This window comes from Homo sapiens, chromosome 2 (assembly GCF_000001405.40).
Source record: "Homo sapiens chromosome 2, GRCh38.p14 Primary Assembly".
Lineage (NCBI taxonomy): Eukaryota > Metazoa > Chordata > Mammalia > Primates > Hominidae > Homo > Homo sapiens.
The window spans coordinates 197,096,039-197,117,892 of NC_000002.12; the positions used below are offsets into that span (position 1 = coordinate 197,096,039).

Below are 21,854 nucleotides of genomic sequence, written 5' to 3' on the forward strand. Positions count from 1 at the left end.
AACTGCTAGTCATCCTTCAGTCTTGGTTAAACCTTTACATCTTGCTTCTCTAGTCTTGTGAGACTGGGTTCCACATCTTAGATATTTTTCACACATCCCAGTGGCACCCAGCAATCGCTCTGGCATCACACTTAGCATGCATGATTGTATTGCTTGTTTAAATCTTGCTCCCAGGGGATCATAAATTCCTCAAGGGCAGGGACCTCTATAATCCCAGAACCTGGCATCATAGGTACCACTTAGGCCCTCAACCAATATTTAATGAATGAATGAATGTCAGAGCCAGTTATTCATAAACTATAATACCCCTAATTCTGCTGTTGAGGCAGAAAAAGAATGCATAATTGGTAAGGAAATAGGCAAATTAAAATCCTCGAGACAATCCGCAAACTAACAAAATTAAAGAAGATAAACCAAAGGGCTTTGACATCACGTAAAGTTGCATGAGCACTGAATCAAACCGTAGGAAGCTGCTCTGACTTAAAGTTCAGAGAAGCAAAAAGAATAACAAAGAACATTCTAATCAAGGGCTGACATTTATTTCAGATTCAAATAAATTCGTAAGAAAGTAATAATGATAAAACTTGTCATATAGAGTTAATTTAAATACATTTGGCTATATTGCTTATGAATGAAAATGGGTTCTTTTCACAAATGCTATTTGTTTTTTCACTTATCTATGAAAGGCCTATTTTTCTCCTCTTTAATAATCCTATAAGGAACCCAGATAACAGTGATTTTCTGAGAGGCTTTTGGCAAATTTAATCTTCTCCAATTACTCTTCCCTTCACTTTGATATTTTGCCCTAGGGTCGTTTCCATTCTCCCACACACACAAACACACAAAGGCACTTACACACACACATACAATCACTGCCCTAAGGAACCATTGTCACTGAAGGTAGCATGTCGCATCCCCAGATAGTTGTGACAAAGAAAGCAGACATGGCTCTTTCAGGCTGAGACAATGTTTCCCTCATCTGTGTCCCTAAGACATAGCAGAGACAATGGAAGAAAATGCTACTTGAACAACAATGCTATTTTTAAGGCACTTTTGCTACATGGTCTGTGTTTCCATAAATTGAAAGCAAAATAATTACATGGAAATAAATTTCCATCATATTGAATTAAATGGTTTTTAGGGAAAAATTTTAAGTAACCATTGGGTCCAGCTTATTTTTATTCCTAAAATGGATTCAAGTCTGGAAGAAAATCAGAAATTCATGATTGTTTGGCTAAAATTTCCCAAGTAACCCAAAGCTGAAAAAAAATACCACTGAAAATATTAACACATTACAGGTAAAGTCAGTTGGTGCCTAAATATTTATTTTTCTGCTTAATTAACACTGAGCATTTATTATCTCTATCTTTGGGCATCTACGATCTGGTTCAGAACTCCAGAACCTGGTAAGAGCGTACTGAATCTTAGTGTAGAGCTCTTTCCACAAAACTGAGAGGCTTATTTTAACTTACGACATCCCAATTAAAAAGTTCTTTTGGCTCACAGCAGATTCCCCTCTCTTCTGTAAAAAGACATCCCACTGCTAATACTATTTGTCAGCATTCTCCTCTTCTGTCATCCCTCAGCCTCATCTTTAGCCCAAGACCTCATCTTTTCTTCCCTGGACATTTGCAAGAGGCTGCCAAGTGTTTGTAGCCTGGACTGCCTCCAGTACGTCTGGACCGCCTGCAGTATGTCTGGACTGCTATCAGAGCGAACTTTCTTACACACAAATGGGATCATTAGACACAACCTGTTCTACGCCCACTTAGAATTCTTTAACAGCTTCCGAATGACTCAGAGTGGAATGTAATTCTTTAGCAGGACTTGCGAAGCCCTTTGAGATGTGGCTCTTCCAGCCTTTCCTCCTCATTTCTTTCCACTCCACCCACCAAACATCCAATGACCCAGCTTTAGAAATGTGCTTTTAACAGGTTCACATGTTTATGTCTTTATAACGACTGTTCCCTCTTCTTGGGATATCCTTCCTTTCTCCCATTTCTCTTTCTACCCCATAATTATGTCCATCTAGCAAACTCCTATATATCCTTCCTTTTGTTACAATGTCATCTTTTCTGGGGGATCCAGAAAATTAGTATCTCTCTCACTCTGTTCCCACAGCCTGGTCCAAACATCCATCTTAACAAATTTCACAATACTCAGTAATTTGTGCTTGTTCTTATCTCTACCACTAGACTGGGAGGTGTTTGGAACCCAGTTCAACTTAAGATGTTGGACAGATGAAGATAAACCATTATATCCTACCAATCTACCAGAGTGCTTCACAAAATTCATTTTAAGTCCAGAACACCTGCCCTCTGTGAATCTGATTTCATGATCCCACTGCGTCTTCCCCAGGCCATTTCAATTTTAGCTCATTCTCATACAAGACTTTCAATGATGTTGCAGAAAATTAACAAATAAAATTCCTAAGATACACTGCTTTCATAAGGTTTTTCTTCTAAAAATTTAGTTATTGTTACAGACTCTGATCAAGGCTAAACTCTTTATTCAGGCATTGAAGGCCCTCTTTAATTTAGTTCTACTACCTATTATTAAATAATAAAATAATAGTTAACATATATTGATAGCTCACTACGTGCCAGGCACTGTTCAAAGAGCTTTTAACATGCGTTATCTTTTTAATAACCTTAGGAGGTGTATTTATAGAACTCATATAGATCTTACCAGATACCAAAGAGCTTTACTAGTAATTAAGTCACTTAATCCTCATAACAAACCTACAGATAAGTACTAGTATTACTAGTATTACTACAATATTTCCAATTAGGCAAGGGGCTCAAAGTCACATAGCTCACAAGGGAAGCAGCTTGGATTGGCATCAAGGGAGCACCCACCAAAGCCTGGGCTCCCAACCACCCTGGGTCCTGCCCCTCGGTGGTGCACAGCATCATCACATTCTCTACTCTGTCAGGCCAAGCTCTTCCCTGGTGTGGAGTCTTTGCCTCTTTTGTTCCCGCTTTCCTCCCTGCTTGGGATGGTTGCCACCCTCTGCTGTACTCAGATAATTCTCAGCCCCTAAAGCCTAGCTAAAATTCATCTTCTCCTTGAAGCCTTTTCAGAAAACACTGGCCACCTTTGAGCTCTCTCCTCCCTGTCTATATTCTGTGACACAGATTGTCTACACCAAACATTTGCCACTTAAGTCTGTTTCATTTAGAACTTTATGATATATGATCTTGCATGGTTCTTTGACTTAAGTGGGTCTTGGGCCCTGAACAAAATTATGAGCGCCTTGAAACTAGGTAACTTACATCTTCTGAAATCTCCCATAGCACCCAGCATAGATGCTTTATGTATTTTTGTGGAATTGAAGTTCAAAATGAAGTCAGGTTCCCCCTTCCCTACATAGCAGATTGACTCAATTGTACTCTATAACCATATCATTAAAGCTGAGCAAGCAATCTGAATACATTCTAAATTGGCTCAGTTAGGTTTTATTTTTCCTGTTTAATATGAAGCATTGGGAAGGACAGAAGAATATTAGAAAGAAAAGTTACGAATAAAGTTCAAGTTTCCTTAATTAAAACCACTGAAATAGACCTCATTTGGATGAAGCTAAAAAATAAAATTGGTTCTTCTTTGCCTCTGTCATTAAAAGGCACTTAATTTATTTAAAATTTAATTTGTATTTAGTATAATGGTATAGATCCACCTTAACCTGGATAAATGGGAACTATCTACTGCACGGAAGAATCTTTTTGGCAGTATTCCCACTTGAGGCAATTATTCCACCGTATTTTTGCGGTAACCTACTTGGCTGTGTCAGCTCCGCTGGTTATTAAGGTGTTAATCAAAAGCTCATGACCGTATCTTGCAGCCACATGGAGAGGAGTGTTGCCGTCCTTATCCACACAGTCAATTTCACCTCCTGAAAGAGATATTTTAATACAGGATAACGCAAGGATTCAGGTTGATTCAGGTCCTATGTTCTCTGCTAGTCTCTCGTATCAACCAAATGTTGATTTCTTTCCTATTCCAGTTGTGCATCTTTGCTCCGAAATACAAGAATGCTTTTAAAGGGGACAAGTCACCATCTGAAGCAGTAGTAGTAGTATATCTGCGTAGACAGAAGTCTATTAGAGATGCTTTTGAGGCCGGGCGTGGTGGCTAACGCCTGTAATCCCAGCACTTTGGGAGGCTGAGGCGGGCAGATCACGAGGTCAGGAGTTTCAGACCAGCCTGACCAACATGGTGAAACCTCATCTCTACCAAAAATAAAAAAATTAGCTGGGTGTGGTGGTGCATGCCTGTAATCCCAGCTACTCAGGAGGCTGAGGCAGGAGAATCGCTTGGACCTGGGAGGCAGAGATTGCAGTGAGCCAAGATCGCACCACTGCACTCCAGCCTGGGCGACAGAGCGAGACTCCGTCTCAAAAAAAAAGAAAAAGAAAAAGAAAAAGAAAAATGCTTTTGAGAAATCTTTCCATATTGTCTTAGTTAAGAATCCAAAATCTCACAACTAAATGCCTGCTCTGAATGAAGAATGTATTCAAATCCCATAAAGTGTAATTCTGAAGACATGTTCAATTTTAATTTTCCCTGCTGAATTAAAAACCTATGTAAACCTTGTGCTAAAACATAAGAACCAAAGGGGATGGACAGTTCAGGAAATGATTTCATGTAATTTGATGATCTAGCTTATAGTATTTTAATATTATGACTAAAATGAGTAAAAGCATAGACAATAAACTGAAAATGCCTATATTTATAAAAACTATGACAATAATCATCCATACTTCTTTTAATAATATAGTATTGTCATTATGTTTTATTTTGCCTTCTCTTCCCCCAGTTTTTATTTCACTAAATTTCTTTTTTTCTCTCCCTTTTTCGTGTGTGTGTATATATACAATTGGTCTATTCATTCATTTATCTGAGGAACCATTTAAAAAGTTAGCTATCATAACATTTTACCGCTAAGTATGTTTTTCCTAAGAACAAAGACATTTTCGCACATAACCACAATTCCATCATTTTACCCAAGAAATTTAACATTCATAAAATAATTTTATGTAATATTAGTGCATATTCCAATTTCTCAGACTGTCCCCAAACTGTGCTTTATAATAGTTATCTTGTTGTTTTAATCCAGGATCCAATCAAATATCCTGATAGCACTTGGTTGTCATGTCTCTTTAGTTTCTGTTAATCCAAAACAATCCTCCTGGCTTTTTTTTTTTAAGTTTCTCATGTCGTTGATATTATTGGAGCCCAAATCACGAGTTGTGTTGGACGCTCTACATTCTGGAGTTGTCTTTTGGTTTCTTCATTATTAGATTCAGGCTAAACATTTTGGCAACAATTCCCAGAGCAGATGCGTGCTTCCCGCTCCATTTTCTTAGCGCACACAGTTATTCCATTACCAGGTGATGCAAAGTTTGACTACTTGCAATGGGTACCAACTTTCAGTTTGGGAAAAGAAACAGCCCTGAAAATGGATGGCAGTGATGGTTGTACAACAGTAGGAATGCACTGGATGCCACTGAACTGTACACTTAAAAATGGCTAAAACGGTAAATTTTATGTTATGTATATTTTACCACAATAAAAAAAAAGGCTTGATTATGTGGTTAAGGTGGTGTCTGTCAGTACACTTACTGCAAAAATATCTTCTCCTCTTTGTAATTAACAGGCAATCTGTGCGGTGATACAGGCAATCAGAGTGTACAGATATCTGATTTCCCAACAGACTTTTTCCACAATAATTTTTAGCATATGTGGGGAGTACTTTGTTCAAAATTTACCTGAATTTTTTACTGTGTGCTTATATTATCTATATAAGTTAGGTTCATTTGATTCTGTTTGCTTTCAAATATTTTTACTGGGTTTTATTTTATTTTAATAATATGTAAAATACATGTTTCAAAAGTCAAAAGTCATATTTTTGAAAAGGCTTACTCATTCTTATCCCTTCCTCTTCATCCTCATACACAACCTACAGCAAGCATTTTCATTAGTTTTAGTTTATGCTTCTGTGTTTCGCTTTGCAAAAAAAAACAAAAAACAAAAACAAAAACAAAAAAAAATCCCCCTACTTAACAGTATTTCCTAGAACTCACTTCTAAAGATGACTTCTTGGAGATCTTCCTGATTTTTGTACAGTTTTATTGTTTTCCATTGCACAGTTGTACTAGTTTAGTACACTCGTCTCCTATGGGTAAGCATTTAGGTTGTAAATAACATTTTGCTATTATCTGGAATGCCACAGTGAATAATCTCATATGTATGTTGCTTCATATTTGTTAGATGTATCTTCAAGGTAAATTTTCAGAAGGGAGATATCTAGGTCAAAGGGAAAATTAATATGTGGTTTTGTCAGATTTTGCCAGATTTCTCTCTGTAGGCACGGTGCAATTTTACACTCTAACCAGCACAGTATGAGAGGCACTTTTCCTTATAGCCTTGTCAAGCTTTTGAATATCTGCTATCTGATGGGTGAGAGCTGGTATCTCTCTGCAGCTTTCATTTGCATTTCTCTTATTATGAGGGAAGTTGAACATCTTTTCATATGTTATAGAAGGACCATTTGTTTATCTTTTTCTGTAAACTATTTTTCATGACTTTTGCTCATTTTTCTAAGTTTGTGTGTATGTCCTTAAACATATACACAATACTGATATCTAAACCATATACACATATGTATATATGCTAGTATAAGTAATATAAAACCCCAAGAAATAGAAATATGTGAATGGCTTAAATGTCCTCAAACATACAAACAAACTTAGAAAAATGAGCAAAAGTGATTTTCAATAACTTTTAAAATGAGTAAGCTCTATTTGGGAGATTACTCATTTATCAGCAATACATGTTACAATTATTTTTCTCCCAGGTTTTGTTTTTAATTTTTGATGTTTTTTTCCCTGTCAAAAAAATTTGGGGGGTGGCGGGGCGTGGTGGCTCATGCCTGTAATCCCAGCACTCTGGGAGGCCAAGGTGGGCAGATCACAAGGTCAGGAGATCAAGACCATCCTGGCAAACACGGTGAAACCCCATCTCTACCAAAAACACAAAAAATTAGCCGGCATGGTGGCAGACACCTGTAGTTCCAGTTACTTGGGAGGCTGAGGCAGGAGAATGGTGTGAACCCGGGAGGCAGAGCTTGCAGTGAGCCAAGATTACGCCACTGCGCTCCAGCCTGGGCGACAGAGTGAGACTCCATCTCAAAAAAAAAAAAAAAAAAAATTGGGGGAGGAATGTATTAGTCTTTTATCATGTTTGGGTTTGTTGTTAGGGAGTCTTTCCCTATACCCTGGTAACAAAGAAATTGACACATGTTTTCTATACGTGAAAGGTTTTCTTTTTCAGATATAGATATCTGATCCTTTTGGAGTTTATCTTGGTGGTGTGTTTGTTGACTGACTAAATAAATGTTCCCTGAATGCCTAAAAGACTGAAAATTCAAGAAAACAGCCTGAACAAATTCACAGAGGCAGAAACTAGATTAGTGGTTGCCAGGGGCTGGGGACAAATGGGGAGTGATGACTAACGGGTATGAGGTTTCTTTTTGTACTGATGTCTAAACCATATACATACCTATATATGCTAGGATAAGTAATATAAATATGAATGACTTCAATCTAGAAAGGTGTGATACATTTCTTTTAAGTACCTTATTTCTGATTGAGAAAGTATTTTCTTATTGTAGAAAATTTAGAAGATGTAGTAAAATAGAAATACAAAGAAGAAAACAGAAGTCATCTATAAATTCACTGACTATCCAAGATAGTCAGTACTAGTATTTTGGAATATTTCCTCCCAGTTGTATGTATGTGTGCATGCGTGTGTAGAATTTTCCCATGGTTGAGTTCCCGGTGTAGAAAAAGTTTTTTAGTCCTACGTTCTCCTTTAATGTTACATTACAATCCTTCCCATGTCATTAATCTTTTTCATTAATATAATTGTAAATGACTATATAATATCAGTATCTAGAGAATTTACTTAGCAAGTCCCCAATTAATAGGCATTGAGGGCATACCCAAATCTTTGCTATTAAGAAAAACACAGGAATGAACATATTTACAAATAGTCTTTACATTTCAGATGATTTCCTTTAGTAACTTTTTTCTTTTTCCTGAGACAAAGTCTTGCTTTGTCACCCAGGCTGGAGTGCAGTGACACAGTCTCGGCTCACTGCAACCTCCCCTTCTCAGATTCAAACAATTCTCCTGCCTCAGCCTCCCAAGGAGCTGGGATTACAGGTGCTTGCCACCATGCCTGGCTAATTTTTGTATTTTTAGTACAGATGTGGTTTTGCCATGTTGGCCAGGCTGGTCTCGAACTCCTGACCTCAAGTGATCTACTTGTCTCGGCCTCCCAAAGTGCTGGAATTATAGGGGTGACCCACCACACCCAGGCAGCAACATTTTTAAAAGTAGGACTATTGGACTAAAAGTATGGAGACCCTTGATACACACCAGCAAAAAACTTTTGAGAAAGGCTCTGCCCATTAGCATTCCCATTAGCAGTATACTTGAGCATTATACCAAAAAGAAGCCATTGAGAGTCTTCTCAGCTCTGGGGAAAGGGCATTATCTTCCAGGCCAGGACACTGTCCCTTGTAATAAGATCGTCCATAAGGTCCTCATCAGATCTATATGTCCTTCATTCCAATGAATCCTACTATTGGCCATTATAACTAACAACTCCCCAACATTTATTTTCAGCAAACAACGCTTTTTCTAGCCAAGTGTACTGGCAAAACGCAGGGCTAGAGTATAAAAATATTTGCTACAAAGTGAAATGATTAACAAAAATGTGTGCACTTTGTGAAGGGGACAATTGTTTCAAAAACTCCAATTAGCACACACAGGATTTTGGATGCTTCCCTCTACTCTCAAGACTTCTGTGTGTAGAATTTTGTTTGAAAATCAACTTGCTGCCAGTAAGTTTACCCATTTGGGGGTCTGCAACTTAATAGCTGTTTACGAAAAGGGAATCCCTTTTTAACTGACTGGGACAGAGAAATGTAAATGGGAACTTGAATAGAAATACTGATCTTTCTTCAAATCTTTGTTTCTGTGTTACAGTGGGGTTCTTTTGTTGTTGTTATTTTGGGGTTTTTTTTTGAGATGGACTCTCGCTTTTGTTGCCCAGGCTGGAGTTCAGTGGTGTAATCTCGGCTCACTGCAACCTCTGCCTCCCGGGTTCAAGTGATTCTCCTGTCTCATCCTCCCGAGTAGCTGGGATTATAAGCACATGCCATCATGCTCAGCTAATTTTTGTATTTTTAGTGGAGATGAGGTTTTGCCATGTTGGCCAGGCTAGTCTCTAATGCTGACCTCAAGCAATCCACCTGCCTCAGCCTCCCAAAGTGCTGGGATTACAAGCGTGAGCCACTGTATCTGGCTTTATTTTTAAAATGAATTGTCCAGATAATAGAGTATGATCACTTCTGTAAAGTAATAATTAAATATCTTTACATATATTCTTAAATACATAGAAAAATCCAGAAGTGTCACCAAACTGCCAATAAAAATTATTGGGATAGGGCTGAGGAGACACATTGGTGGAGATCACGGAATCTCTTTCATGACTTAATTTTAGTTTACGGTGAGCATGTACTAATTTTATAATCAGGAAAAATAATAAAGTTAGTTATTGTGATCGTCTAGGGACTCAACAGACAGTTAACTATGATCTGAATTTAGAAGTGTCCAATTGAGATCAATTCATTTTATGACTTGATGGTAGCTTTGGAGACAGGCAGCCACCTCGTCCCCACAGATACCTCAGAGCAATCCAGTGTGCACGTATCCATATCAGAGCTGCCCACGGTGGTCTGCCTGAAAGCCCCAGCTGTCGAGCTGATCCAGGGAGATGTGGGACAGAGATCCCCAGACTGCAGAGAAGTCTGCCCTGGACAAACACTCCATCAATCCACATCCTTCCCAGCCAAGAGTCACCAAATCATTCTTAAAAAGTGTTAGAGCCTCCAGGTTTACCAGTCTCAAATATGCCAAAAATTGGGTAGAGAAAGGGAAGAGTGAAAACTATCAGGAAGGATGGAGTAGGGGTCTGAGCTGATAAAAGTTTTTTCTTGTAGTTGTTGCTTTCATTTTACAAGTCAGCTTAAAACTGTAAAAATATAGATAACTGGCCAGGCACGGTGACTCACGCCTGTAATCCCAGCACTTTGCAAGGCCAAGGTGGGCAGATCACCTGAGGCCAGGAGTTCAAGAACAGCCTGGCCAATATGGCGAAACCCCATCTCTACTAAAAATACAAAAATTAGCCAGGTGTGGTGGCAAGCTACCTGAGTAGTCCTAGCTACTTGAGAGGCTGAGGCAGGGGAATTTCTTCAACCCGGGAGGCAGAGATAGCAGTGAGCCGAGATCGCACCACTGCAGTCCAGCCTGGGCTACACAGCGAGATTTCATCCCAAAAAAAGAAAGATAATTATTGTCCATATGTGCTTTTGTTATCATTTAAAATATATTTCAGGAGGCCAGTCGCAGTGGCTCACGCCTGTAATCCCAGCACTTTGGGAGGCCGAGGCAGGCAGATCACGAGGTCAGGAGATTGAGACCATCCTGGCTAACATGGTGAAAGCCCATCTCTATTAAAAAACACAAAAAATTAGCTGGGCGTGGTGGCAGGCGCATGTAGTCCCAGCTACTCGGGAGGCTGAGGCAGGAGAATGGAGTGAACCCGGGAGGCAAAGCTTGCAGTGAGCTGAGATGGTGCCACTGCACTCCAGCCTGGGTGACAGAGCAAGACTCCGTCTCAAATATATATATATATATTTTTTTTTTTTTTTCAGGAAAACATAACTTAGTGGAAAAATAAAAGACAGACTCTCTATTTGTTATCTGAAAACATGTTTTCTATATAAACAGCACCTCTAGATAAGTGCATTTCTATCTTACAATTACTCCACAAACCTTGCCATTTTCATTTGAAAATTTTTAAAACTTGCTTGGAATGCAAATGAAATCTCTTTACCGTTTGTCATTTGAAGGTTGCAAGTTAAATATTGGAGATTGATCATTGACAACCAGTGAGGAAAATAAACATTTGCCAGTTTAGAAGTATGCAGAGCATGTCAGAAAGGATAATTAATTAGTATCCTCTAAGCATTCATCTGAAATTAGTTTTTCATTGCACAAACAAGAATGATCAGCTTATTAAGTTGCCTTGGAAGGATTGTGAGCCAAAGGGTCAAAAATCTCACATTGACTCATCCTAACCTACAACTTGACTCTTCCTTTTCAAACTCTATTTATTTTTAAAGCTTCTGTGAAGAAAACATCATTTTTGAACTTGTGTAACCTGCTGGACGGCATCTGAGGGGGGTGCCTAGGGCCAATGGTGAGGTCAAATGCCTTCAGACACCAGATGCTGTCTTTGGTCAGTTGCTTTCCCTCTATTGCTGTGACAACACAGCTTCAGACAACAAACAATGTGATTGGATAGCAGAGGTAGTCTTTGCTTACTAACTAAAAAAGAGTGGGGTTTTTTTTTTCATTATTGTCTTACTAAAGCTGGATGATTCTGGAAAAACAAAGTTATGAAAACTAGTAATCCTGACTGGAGAGCAGTCAGAGAAGCAGAGAAAACTATTCAAAGTCCAAACACCAATGCAATTTAACAAAACAAATAAATACAAAGAACATTCCTCAGTAGCATGTTTAGTTGCTTCAGGGAGCCAAATGCTGTGCCCATGTGGTCCTGGAGGACAGAGGGGCTCCTGCTAGGTGATGTCCCACTCTGGGGGGACTGACACCAGGCCCTAGGGGCATGAGCTTCTGGAGAGGGAGTGTCCCAGCAACAGCCCAAGATTCTTCCCAGAAGGAAGCCAACAAACAGGAGGTAAAAAAAGAACTTCCTTTTCTTCTCCCCAAGGGCATTTTAAAAAATGTCAAATGGAAGAATTCACAGTTCTCACATGTGTTATGAATGCAAAAAAATTGTCAGTTGAGATAAGAGAATACCAAAGCATCCTTTTACAGGGAAAACTCTATTTCAAATATAAGTGACTCTCAGAGTAAACAGAATTCAATTTTAAAAGGAATTTTTTTAAAACACCATTGGTTTCTGGAGGTCATGTTTATAAGCGTGGTGGTTGAGAGTTCAGTCTCTGATGTCAGACTTCCTGTGTTCAGATCCCTATTCCTCAACATACTGGCCATTTATCCAGACACAAGTGACAACCTCTCTGCCTCAGCTTCCTCATCTTTGAAATGGAGATAATCATAGTACCTTTTTCTCATAGGGTGGTTGAAAGGCTTTATAAGTGGTGTTTAGCCAAGTGCCTGGCACACTATGAACACTTGGCTTTATCATTATCACTTAGCTTTATCATTATATATAATAGGCTACATATTATAGCCACTATATCCTTATCAATTCAGGCCCCTGGACCCCACCCAATCCATAAGCAAGATGCCAGGACAACCAAGAATGAGAGAGGTTCTGAAACAAAGATCCCCTGACCACAGAGGATAAGAGACAGGGTCTCTTTTAGGTCTCCCCCAACTCAAAAGTCTAGCAACAGCAGGGCACGGTGGCTCACACCTGTTAGCCCAGCATTTTGGGAGGCCAAGGTGGACAGATCATTTGAGGCCAGGAGTTGAGACCAGCCTGGTCAACACATGGCAAAACCCCATCTCTAGTAAAAATACAAAAATTAGCTGGGCATGGTGGCACACCTGTAGTCCCAGCTACTTGGGAGGCTGAGGCACAAGAATCGCTTGAACCCGAGAGGCAGATGTTGCAGTGAGCTGAGATCACCCCATTTCACTCCAGCCTGAGCAACAGAGTGAGAAAGTGTCTTAAAAAACAACAACAACAACAACAACAACAACAACAAAAACACAAATAAACAAAAAAAGTCTAGCAAGAATATCCAGGCAGGACATGGAATTCTTCCAGCCCACATGGCTCTTGCAGAGGCCAAAGCTGCCAGCAGTCCCCTGGGACTGTTGTAAGCATGCCAGCAGGACAGAGAGGAGATGCGTCATAGAGATGACCAGCATGGCCTGACGCACAGGGATGAACCTGCGGGGAAGGCAGTGCTTAGAAGGAGAAAAGTTGTTTTCCCTCCAACCTTGTCTCTGGAGCTTGAAGTTGCTCTAAAAGGGAACCAAGCTGTTTAAGTTTTGTTTGTTTCTAAAAGTTTTGTTTGTTTTTAAAGGGGGGTGGACATTATTTCTGAAAAACAGTTGAGAAATACAGTGGCATAAGAGACGTGCTCGAAAGAGACTAGGGTCACTCCCCCCGACCCCCTTTATTTACATTCAGCAAAATAAAACACGGTGGCCTTTTCAATAAAATGAATGTCAAAGGCATAGCACATATTTCAAATTAGAAATAATGGGTATTGCACGGTTAATTTCTGTTTTACCTTCCTTGGCTCACTGGAAACTTGTTAGGATTTCTTTTCCCTATAGCTTCACTGGAATGCATATAAATTTCCTTTGCTTTGCTGCAGATATTTTGCTTGCTAAGCATAATTCCACTGGCTGGTCTTCCATCCAAATGTCAAATGACTTCTTTGTTTTATGTCTTAAGTGACTAAGACATAACTCAGTGCCACTAATAATTCAAGTGTATGTGGTCCGAAATTCTTATAGATGAGAAAAATACAGGTCCAAGGAAACTGACTAATATCAGAATTTTGAGAAGTAGAAGTATGGGTCAACTAAAAATAGGAACTGCCAGATTGACCTGGAATATCAGCTTAAAATCTGAACTAAACCTGGTTTTTGTCTTTTTTAAATACTCTCTAAGATTTACTAATAGAAGTGATGCTGCTGGCCATGACCCCCTATTAGTAACATGAACCAGGATGTAAAATGATACTCCCTAGTACTTTGACTTCAGTGACAACCTGATGGTTCAAGCATACCTTTGTCGTAAGCCCAGAAAGTTACTATATTACTGTGACTTTCCCAGGTCTTCTCTGTCAAGCCTGTGAATTTTTTTTTTTTTAAGACAAAGTCTCGCTCTGTCACCCAGGCTAGAGTGCAATGGCACAATCTTGGCTCAGTGCAACTTCCTCCTCCCGAGTTCAAGCGATTCTCCTGCCTCAGCCTCCTGAGTAGCTGGGATTATAGGCACCTGCCACCACTCCTGGCTAATTTTTGTATTTTTAGTAAAGACAGAGTTTCACCATGTTGGCCAGGCTGGTCTCGAACTCCTGACCTCAGGTGATCTGCCCACCTCGGCCTCCCAAAGTGCCTGGGATTACAGACGTGAGCCACCACGCCCACCTAAGCCTGTGATTTTATGATCCTTTATATCACATCCTTACCTGCTTTTCCTCTAAGTCATCTCATTTTTCCTAATTTTGCCCAACTAGCTTAATAAGTTTTAACTTAGGAAATTATAGTGAACTCTAAAATTTAAAAATAATTCAGATTTGTTGCTGGAAAATGAATGCTACTTACCTTTATTAGTTTCAGAGTGAGATGCACAGGATCTTGAGCCTACATAAATACATCATTTCCAATTTCAAAGCTCATGCTCTGTGCCTGACTCCAAATTGACTGTGAAACTGTGGCTTTATGTTTTTACTATTAAGGTGGATGTTGATGACATGTCTGATGAACAGTTTTTAGCAAAGTACATCAAAGAATTATGTAATTGCATGCTTACTAAAACTCCAAAACAGGGCATCGACTTTCATATGCAGGTGACTGACAGCCAAATTCACAACAAGAAACTATCGAAATAATGACACTACTGAAGCATCTCTCTTACCATTCTGAATGAGGGTCTGTGACCGTGTGAACCTTCCATGGACAGCTGTCATGTGCAGTGGACTTTTGCCATCTTTACTCTAAAAAAAAGAGAGGGAGAGAAAAACAATGGAGGTGCTCATGAGCCAGTGACACCCATCTGAAATACCCCTATGGACACTCCTAATAATGCCCTGAAAACATTCATTTATTTATTTATTTTTTAAGTATGATCAACATGAGGCTGCAGTGAGCTAGGATTTTACCACTGTACTCCAGCCTGGGTGACAGAATGACATTCTTCTAAATAAAATAAAATAAAAGTATGATCAACAATTACAAGAGGCAAAGATAATTTTGAAAGGAAAAGATAAAATGTACCTGACCTCTCAAGTTATTGCATAACATCACATGTTTTAAAAGCTTAGAGAAACAGTTATCTGAAACCTTTATTCCTCTCCTGTGATCTACTGGAGAAGGAAGTTTCCTTCAAGGTGTTTTTTTCAACCTTTGTCTATAGTACACAAAAAAGACAAATGTGTTACCTTGCATGGTATTCTTTAAGCTGAAGCTGACCAAATGGCTCTGAATCACTGCAACTCTTAAAACTGACCTGAGGCCGGTCGTGGTGGCTCACACCTGTAATCCCAGCACTTTGGGAGGCCAAGGCAGGTGGATCGTTTGAGATAGTTCAAGAACAGCCCGGCCAACATGGTGAAACCCCATCTCTACCAAAAATACAAAAATTAGCCAGGCATGGTGGCGCATGCCTGTAATCCCAGCTACTGGGGATGCTAAGGTGGGAGAATTGCTTGAATCCAGGAGGCGGAGGTTGCAGTGAGCCAAGATCGTGCCACTGCACTCCAGCCTGGGTGACAGAGTGAGACTCTGTCTCAAAAAAAAAAAAGAAAAGAAAACTGATCTGGAACCCTCTACTATTCCCTCCATTATAATTCCATTTAAAAAAAAAATCACTTTTAAAATAAAATAAAACAAAAAAGAAAAAATTTAAACAAAAGAATAAAGAAAAAGAAAAAAACAGAAAAAAACAAAACCATAATTTTTTATTGTTCCAAAAGAGAATCTCTTACTTTACTTAACTCATTAGAAGTCACAGGACTAAGGCATGCAACTGTTTAGGAAACTGCCTTTTGAATGACCAGCTGGGAATGTGTGCTGAATTCATATATTTGTTACTATTCATGATCGAAATTATGAAATTTCCTGACACAGATTAAGCCAAAACACAGAAAATGTACAACAGCTATATACCAATCATCATTATACTAAATACCAAGATACCATATGTAACTAAGAAATAGTAATTTACAGAATTTCTTCTGAAAATAGGCCCAAAAGAAAATATTACTGTTATTTTAGAATAAAAGTATCCCCAATAGAGAGAATGTATTTTCATCCAAGTATTGTTATCAAAAAAATCTATGTAACACTTATTTTTATAAGTCTCAGAGGAAAAATTTCTCTAAGTCTGAGATTAAAATACGAGGTTTTAAAAATGCATGTTCATTTTGTGATGAAATCCAAATGCCTGTATTTTAAAATGACTGTTTTAAAAACTCCATCTTGGAAAACAAATAATAATTTAGGTAAGTATTTCTTAGAGTGGACCAAGGACTGCCCACGTCTGAATCACCCAGGATTCTTGTTAGAAATATGAATTCTGGGCCAGGCGCAGTGGCTCACGCCTGTAATCCCAGCACTTTGGGAGGCCGAGGCGGGAGGATCAAGAGGTCAGGAGATAGAGCCCATCTTGGCTAGCACGGTGAAACCCCGTCTCTACTAAAAATACAAAAAATTAGCCAGGTGTGGTGGCGGGGCCTGTAGTCCTAGCTGCTTGGGAGGCTGAGGCAGGAGAATGGCGTGAACCCGGGAGGCGGAGTTTGCAGTGAGCCGAAATCGTGCCACTGCACTCCAGCCTGGGCGACAGAGCGAGACTCCGTCTCAAAAAAAAAAAAAAAGAAAAAAAGAAAAGAAAAAAAAAGAAAGAAAGAAAAAGAAATATGAATTCTGTACCTTAACCCTGAACTACAGAATTGGGGTAAGAGGGTCCCATTTTTAACCCCTGCTTTGGACTGTGGGCTAAAATAGGTTATAAAACCAAGGTTTTAACACAAGCATTTTATTATATTCTATAAGTCTATTCCTTAGAAATAAAAAAGGAATTACACATAGTCTGTGCCAAGAAAAAAAAGTTAATTAGAACGGTAAGTTCATCTTAATTGAAAAAAAAAAACATGTATCATTATAATTCAATATTCTCAGGTAGATGTGGGAAGAAAAGAAATAATAGGATCTTTTCTCCATCTTCTATGAGTATAATCTGAATCAGAACAGACTGAGAAAGGAGAGCTGAAGCTTGATAATACTTTTAGAGGAAAAACTGGAGCAATCAAGAGAATGAGATACAAAACCATCGCTGACCATGAGACATACTGGGAAGGAGAGCTCCTAAAAGTTATCTGATTCCAGAGCTAGGCCTTAGTTGTCGGGACTGCACACAGTTCCAAGGACTGAAACACCTGGGAACTACTTTGGAATAAGGATTTAAAACACCCCCTTCCAATTAAAAAGTGATGACACTTCAAAATAACTAAGGCGAGAGAAGGCAGAAATTGTGGAGTTGGCATTAACTTGTCCCTAGGTGGTGCTATTTCTTTAAATTTTGCTCCAGTGTTTTCTCTTAATATGAAACCATAAGTAATTATTAATTAAATATATCTAAAGCTATAAATACTTCAGCATTTAGAAAATATCTTCACAATATTCAGCTAAGCAATTTTCCATGTCTATAAAAGAGCTTAAAGGCCTTACCAAGGAGTAACCACCAACTTGGTGGTAGCTATCTAAGTTGCAGGCAGAGAGACAAAGCAGAAGTGATCTCTGAAGTGTGTGGTGGGCAAAGCCAGGCCCATTTCAGGGATAGCAAACACCACAACCTTCTTTTCTCTGAGAGTGCTTGTGCACTTGTAAAGGGACAAGTAAATGGAGATGACCAAAGTTAGGTAAAATGCAAAGAACAGCCATATGATCAGTGGTGACAATTGCTTTGCATCCATCTTTGCAGATCTTTGCCTGGGTTCATCTATAGCCTGAGTCCAGGCTATAGCTGATATTTTTTTCTTCACATAGGGAAACAGGTAGATAAGGTGGGGAAATTGGGACAGAAAGCATTAAGAGTATCATGGCAGCCATTTTGGGACAACTTTGTTCACATGGTATGGGTGTAAAGGGAGCTCATTATTTCAAAAAGCTATAGAAAACCAATGAAACTCAAAAGGATAATACTTTTTATATAATTCTTAAAAGTTAGAACTCAGAACATTAAAGTTGAGACTAGGGAACCCTACTGAGTTTCATGATCTGAGAAATTGAAATTTATCATGCAGGGGTACTGGCTGTTGCTACTATTCCTAGAATTGCACAAAAAGATAAAACATTCCTTGCGTTCTCAAAAGAGAGAATATGTGCAATTCTTCCATCTATTCAAAGCTTTTATGAAAATTTTTTTCTTAATTTCTAGTCTCCCTCCAATTTTCTAGCTACATTTTCCCATAGAATTTAGGGCTTTGAAATTATTGTTATTTTGATAATCCATTTAATTAAGCAAGAAGCACTTCTATTGAGTTAGGCATAATCAAGCCCTAAGTCATAAAGGAAAAATACTGAGGATTAAAATATTTACAACAAATATTAGTACTCTTTCAGGGCAGAACTCAGCATTGCCTAAGGAAGATTAATCTTTGAACTAAAAGCAGTGTTTATATTTTCTTGACCACCAGTCTCCTCAGAAATCCATTCACTTTTTCTTTTATTCCTAATGCCTTCTTTCCTCATCTTCCAATATCCCATATACGTTCCCTAAATTTACAGACATTGTTGTTCCCCAGGGTCTTGAAAGCATAATGTTCTCTGTGGCATGGTACACCCCTGGGGTCACAGAGCTCAGTGGCCCTACTACAGAGCAATAAAAGCTCTATGGGATAACATTAAGTCCAACCTGCGGTTAGGGGTGGGGTCAAATAAGGTGAGAAACCCAATAAGTCTTCCTAATTCAATGCAAGAGCCTCCTAAAATACTGGTGTGAAAAAGCCACACATTGTCCAATTTATTTTGTTTTGTTTTGTATGGTTCTAAGGGCAAGAGAGATGGAACGTGGTTGGCTCACTCATTCCTCTCCTTTCCCTTACTTCTCCAACGTTCTAAGTACCGTCCCTATCACTGCCTACTCTTGCCCATTCCAGTTTCCACCTTCAACTTCTCCAACACAACCTATTCCATAATTTGGTCCTGGTACATATAGAGAAGGGAACTGGTCCACTTCAAGCAGACATGTTTCAACTCCCATCTCTTAGAGCTAAATGATCTAAGAGCCTGCAGACAGAAAAGAATTGAGACCATGCACAGGCTAAATGTCAGTGAACAGGAGGTAGACAACCTGGCAATGGCAATTTCTGAGTCTGTCTTTCTAAGTTGTATCCAGCACAGCTCTATGTCTAGTGCCTTCTTTAACGCTTACTTTGAATGCTTGCTAAAAGAGCCTTGAGATGCTACAGAAATTACAATGTAGTCTCTAATGGAAAAGAAAAAATATTTTATACTTTCTCATGTTCTACCTATTTACAAATTATAAGTAAACCATCAATTGATTATTGTATCAGTAAAGTATATCTTTATTTTATCACAATTAAACTCATATCATGAAGTCAAAAAACAGGACCAGAGTCAATCAATGTAAGCAAAATGAGGAACTGTGAAATGCAGGCTGAACACACATCCCTCCTCCTCTTCCCATCCATCTTTTAGTTGCTCATGAAGACATCACTTTTACTATTTTGTGAGAATAGAGGAAAACAAAGTGAACATGTGGATAGGTAATGGCTGCATTTCAATATGCTACTTCCCTCAACTTTTGGAAAATCTAAACAAATACAAATTGTCTTGCAATCTACAAACACTTTCAAAATCCAAGGAGCAATGTGGTACAGAGAGATAACAACTTTAATTAGACAGCTACCTCCAGAGTCAGACAGGATGGCTCTATGGAAATGTTAGATGATCCGTGCATCCAGAGTGAATCTGGAATAACTAAGGAGGATTCAAAGAGATTTAGGAAATCGGAGGATACAGACAGAATAGATGAAGGGAGACTGAGAATGAAGGCTAGATTTGATTCAAAATCCTATTTACACAGAGTCAATCATAATAAACTCAAATCTCAGAGTTTTAAAATGGCATTTCTTATATTCTAGTTATGATCAGCAGTCCACAGGAAAAAAATAAATATTAAAATTAAGGAATTATGCTTTTCAGCTCCATTTGTGGAAGGGAAGAAGGGGCTGCAAAAACCAATGTATCACAGAAGCTGAAGTCCCTTATCCAATCTGAACTGACCACTGGTCAGTTAACTGGGAGCAGTAGGCCGGTGTGCCAGAGAGTAGCCTTCTAGCCTCTGGTATGGGGCACACTGAGAGCATTGGTGGCATGTTTTACAGATAAAATGAAGTGCATCAGACAACTCTGTGAATTAATTAAGTGGAGGTTGGTAAAGAGAGCGCCTTTATTAAATTCCAATAATTTCCCTTCCTTTGAAGGATTCACAGGATGTCCTTCAGATACCAGGATGGCAAGACAGATGTCTACAGTTTTGGGAACGCTGGCAGTTTGACCACCCACGTGCTTCCTGCCCCCTCAACACCACGCTCTGCGACTTCAGCCTCACGCAAAGATTCCTTACCAACCTCAGACGACAGTTCCTTGGTCTCTTTGATGCCCCCATTCTTTTTTGTCTGCTTTCCATCTTCATGAAAACACGACACTCCTTCCTGTCTCCTCTAACTCCTTTTATCATCCCTTTCTCTGGCTCTTTCTCCTCCTCCTGTTCCTAAGAGTAAAGGGCTGTTTCACTTTCTGTACTCATGCTATTACATACTCTCTCCTTGGGCGGTCTCGTCCCTTTCTCCTGGTTTCAACAATCACCTTTACATGAATGAAGCAATCTACATTTTTTCTTCTGTTCTCTACCAGTCTGCCATGCTAGAACACCACATTTGACACTATTGGGCTTCTCAGACTGGCTATACCAAAACCTAAAAATCAGCTTGTCAAAAACTAAATATATTGGTTTAACTCCCTAAGCCTACTCTTCCTCCTGACGTCTTTCTTAATGAACATCAATAATAACATCTATTTTTCTAGTGCTTATCATGTGGCAGATATTATTCTACATGATTTATGTATGATAAAGCTGTTTAATATTCACAGCAGTTCCATGGAGAAGACACTATTGTTTCCCTAATTTTACAGATAAACTGAGACACACAAAGAGCTTGTTTATGATTATATAGATACTAAAAGTCAAGGCTAGGATTGGAATTTAGGCGGTCTGGCCCCAGAACGGAACACTTAACTACTCTGCTGCACCACCTTTCTTTGCCGGATTTCTTTCTTCCTTCCTACCTTCCTTCCTTCCTTTATTATTTATTTATTTATTTTTTTGACAGAGTCTTGCTCTGTTGCCCAGGCTGGAGTGCAGTGGTGGGATCTCAACTCACTGCAACCTACGCCTCTCAGATTCAAGCAATTCTCCTGCCTCAGCCTCCTGTGTCGCTGGGATTACAGGCATGCGCCACCACACCCAGCTAATTTTTGTATTTTTAGTGGAGACTGGCTTTTACCATGTTGGTCAGGCTGGTCTCGAATTCCTCACCTCGTGATCTGCCTGCCTTGGCCTCCCAAAGTGCTCGGATTACAGGCGTGAGCCACCGCGCCTGGCCAATTTTTGTATCTTTGGAGACAGGGTTTCACCATATTGGTCAGACTGGTCTTGAACTCCTGACCTCAGGTGATCCACCCACCTCGGCCTCCCAAAGTGCTGGATTACAGGCATGAGCCACCACGCCTGGCCTCTTTGCCACATTTCAATCCTTACATTAGTCTTCAACTCCTCCAGTTCATGTCCCACCAAGTCTTGCTGATTTTCTTTCTGCAAAGCCTCTCCCTTCAGTCCCGTTCCCCTGTTCTCTTATTACCTCTTACCAATGCCAGTTTTATTGATTTCTAGTTATCCACTAATCAGCTCTTCTCTAGGTCCACTATACCTGGGTTTTCTTTTTTTCAAAAGTGAAAATA

General features: G+C 39.3%; 1 protein-coding gene across 20 annotated transcripts in view; it reads right to left on the bottom strand.

The window, feature by feature from the left end:
• ANKRD44 (ankyrin repeat domain 44) overlaps positions 1–21,854 on the bottom strand; it is a 343,767-nt gene that overhangs the window by 129,025 nt on the left and 192,888 nt on the right. For 19 of the 20 annotated variants that reach the window (NR_160034.1, XR_923062.3, XM_047446287.1 and 16 more), the window contains 2 exons: positions 14,728–14,806; positions 3,778–3,892 (listed from right to left, as the gene is read on the bottom strand). Coding sequence is in view for 18 of the 20 variants with exons in the window: in XM_047446287.1 (XP_047302243.1) it covers positions 3,778–3,892; positions 14,728–14,806 (194 nt within the window). In the remaining 2 variants the exon portion in view is untranslated. Of the gene's footprint in view, positions 1–3,438; positions 3,893–14,727; positions 14,807–21,854 lie in introns of those variants that run through there. The other variant, NM_153697.3, reaches the window with a different exon arrangement.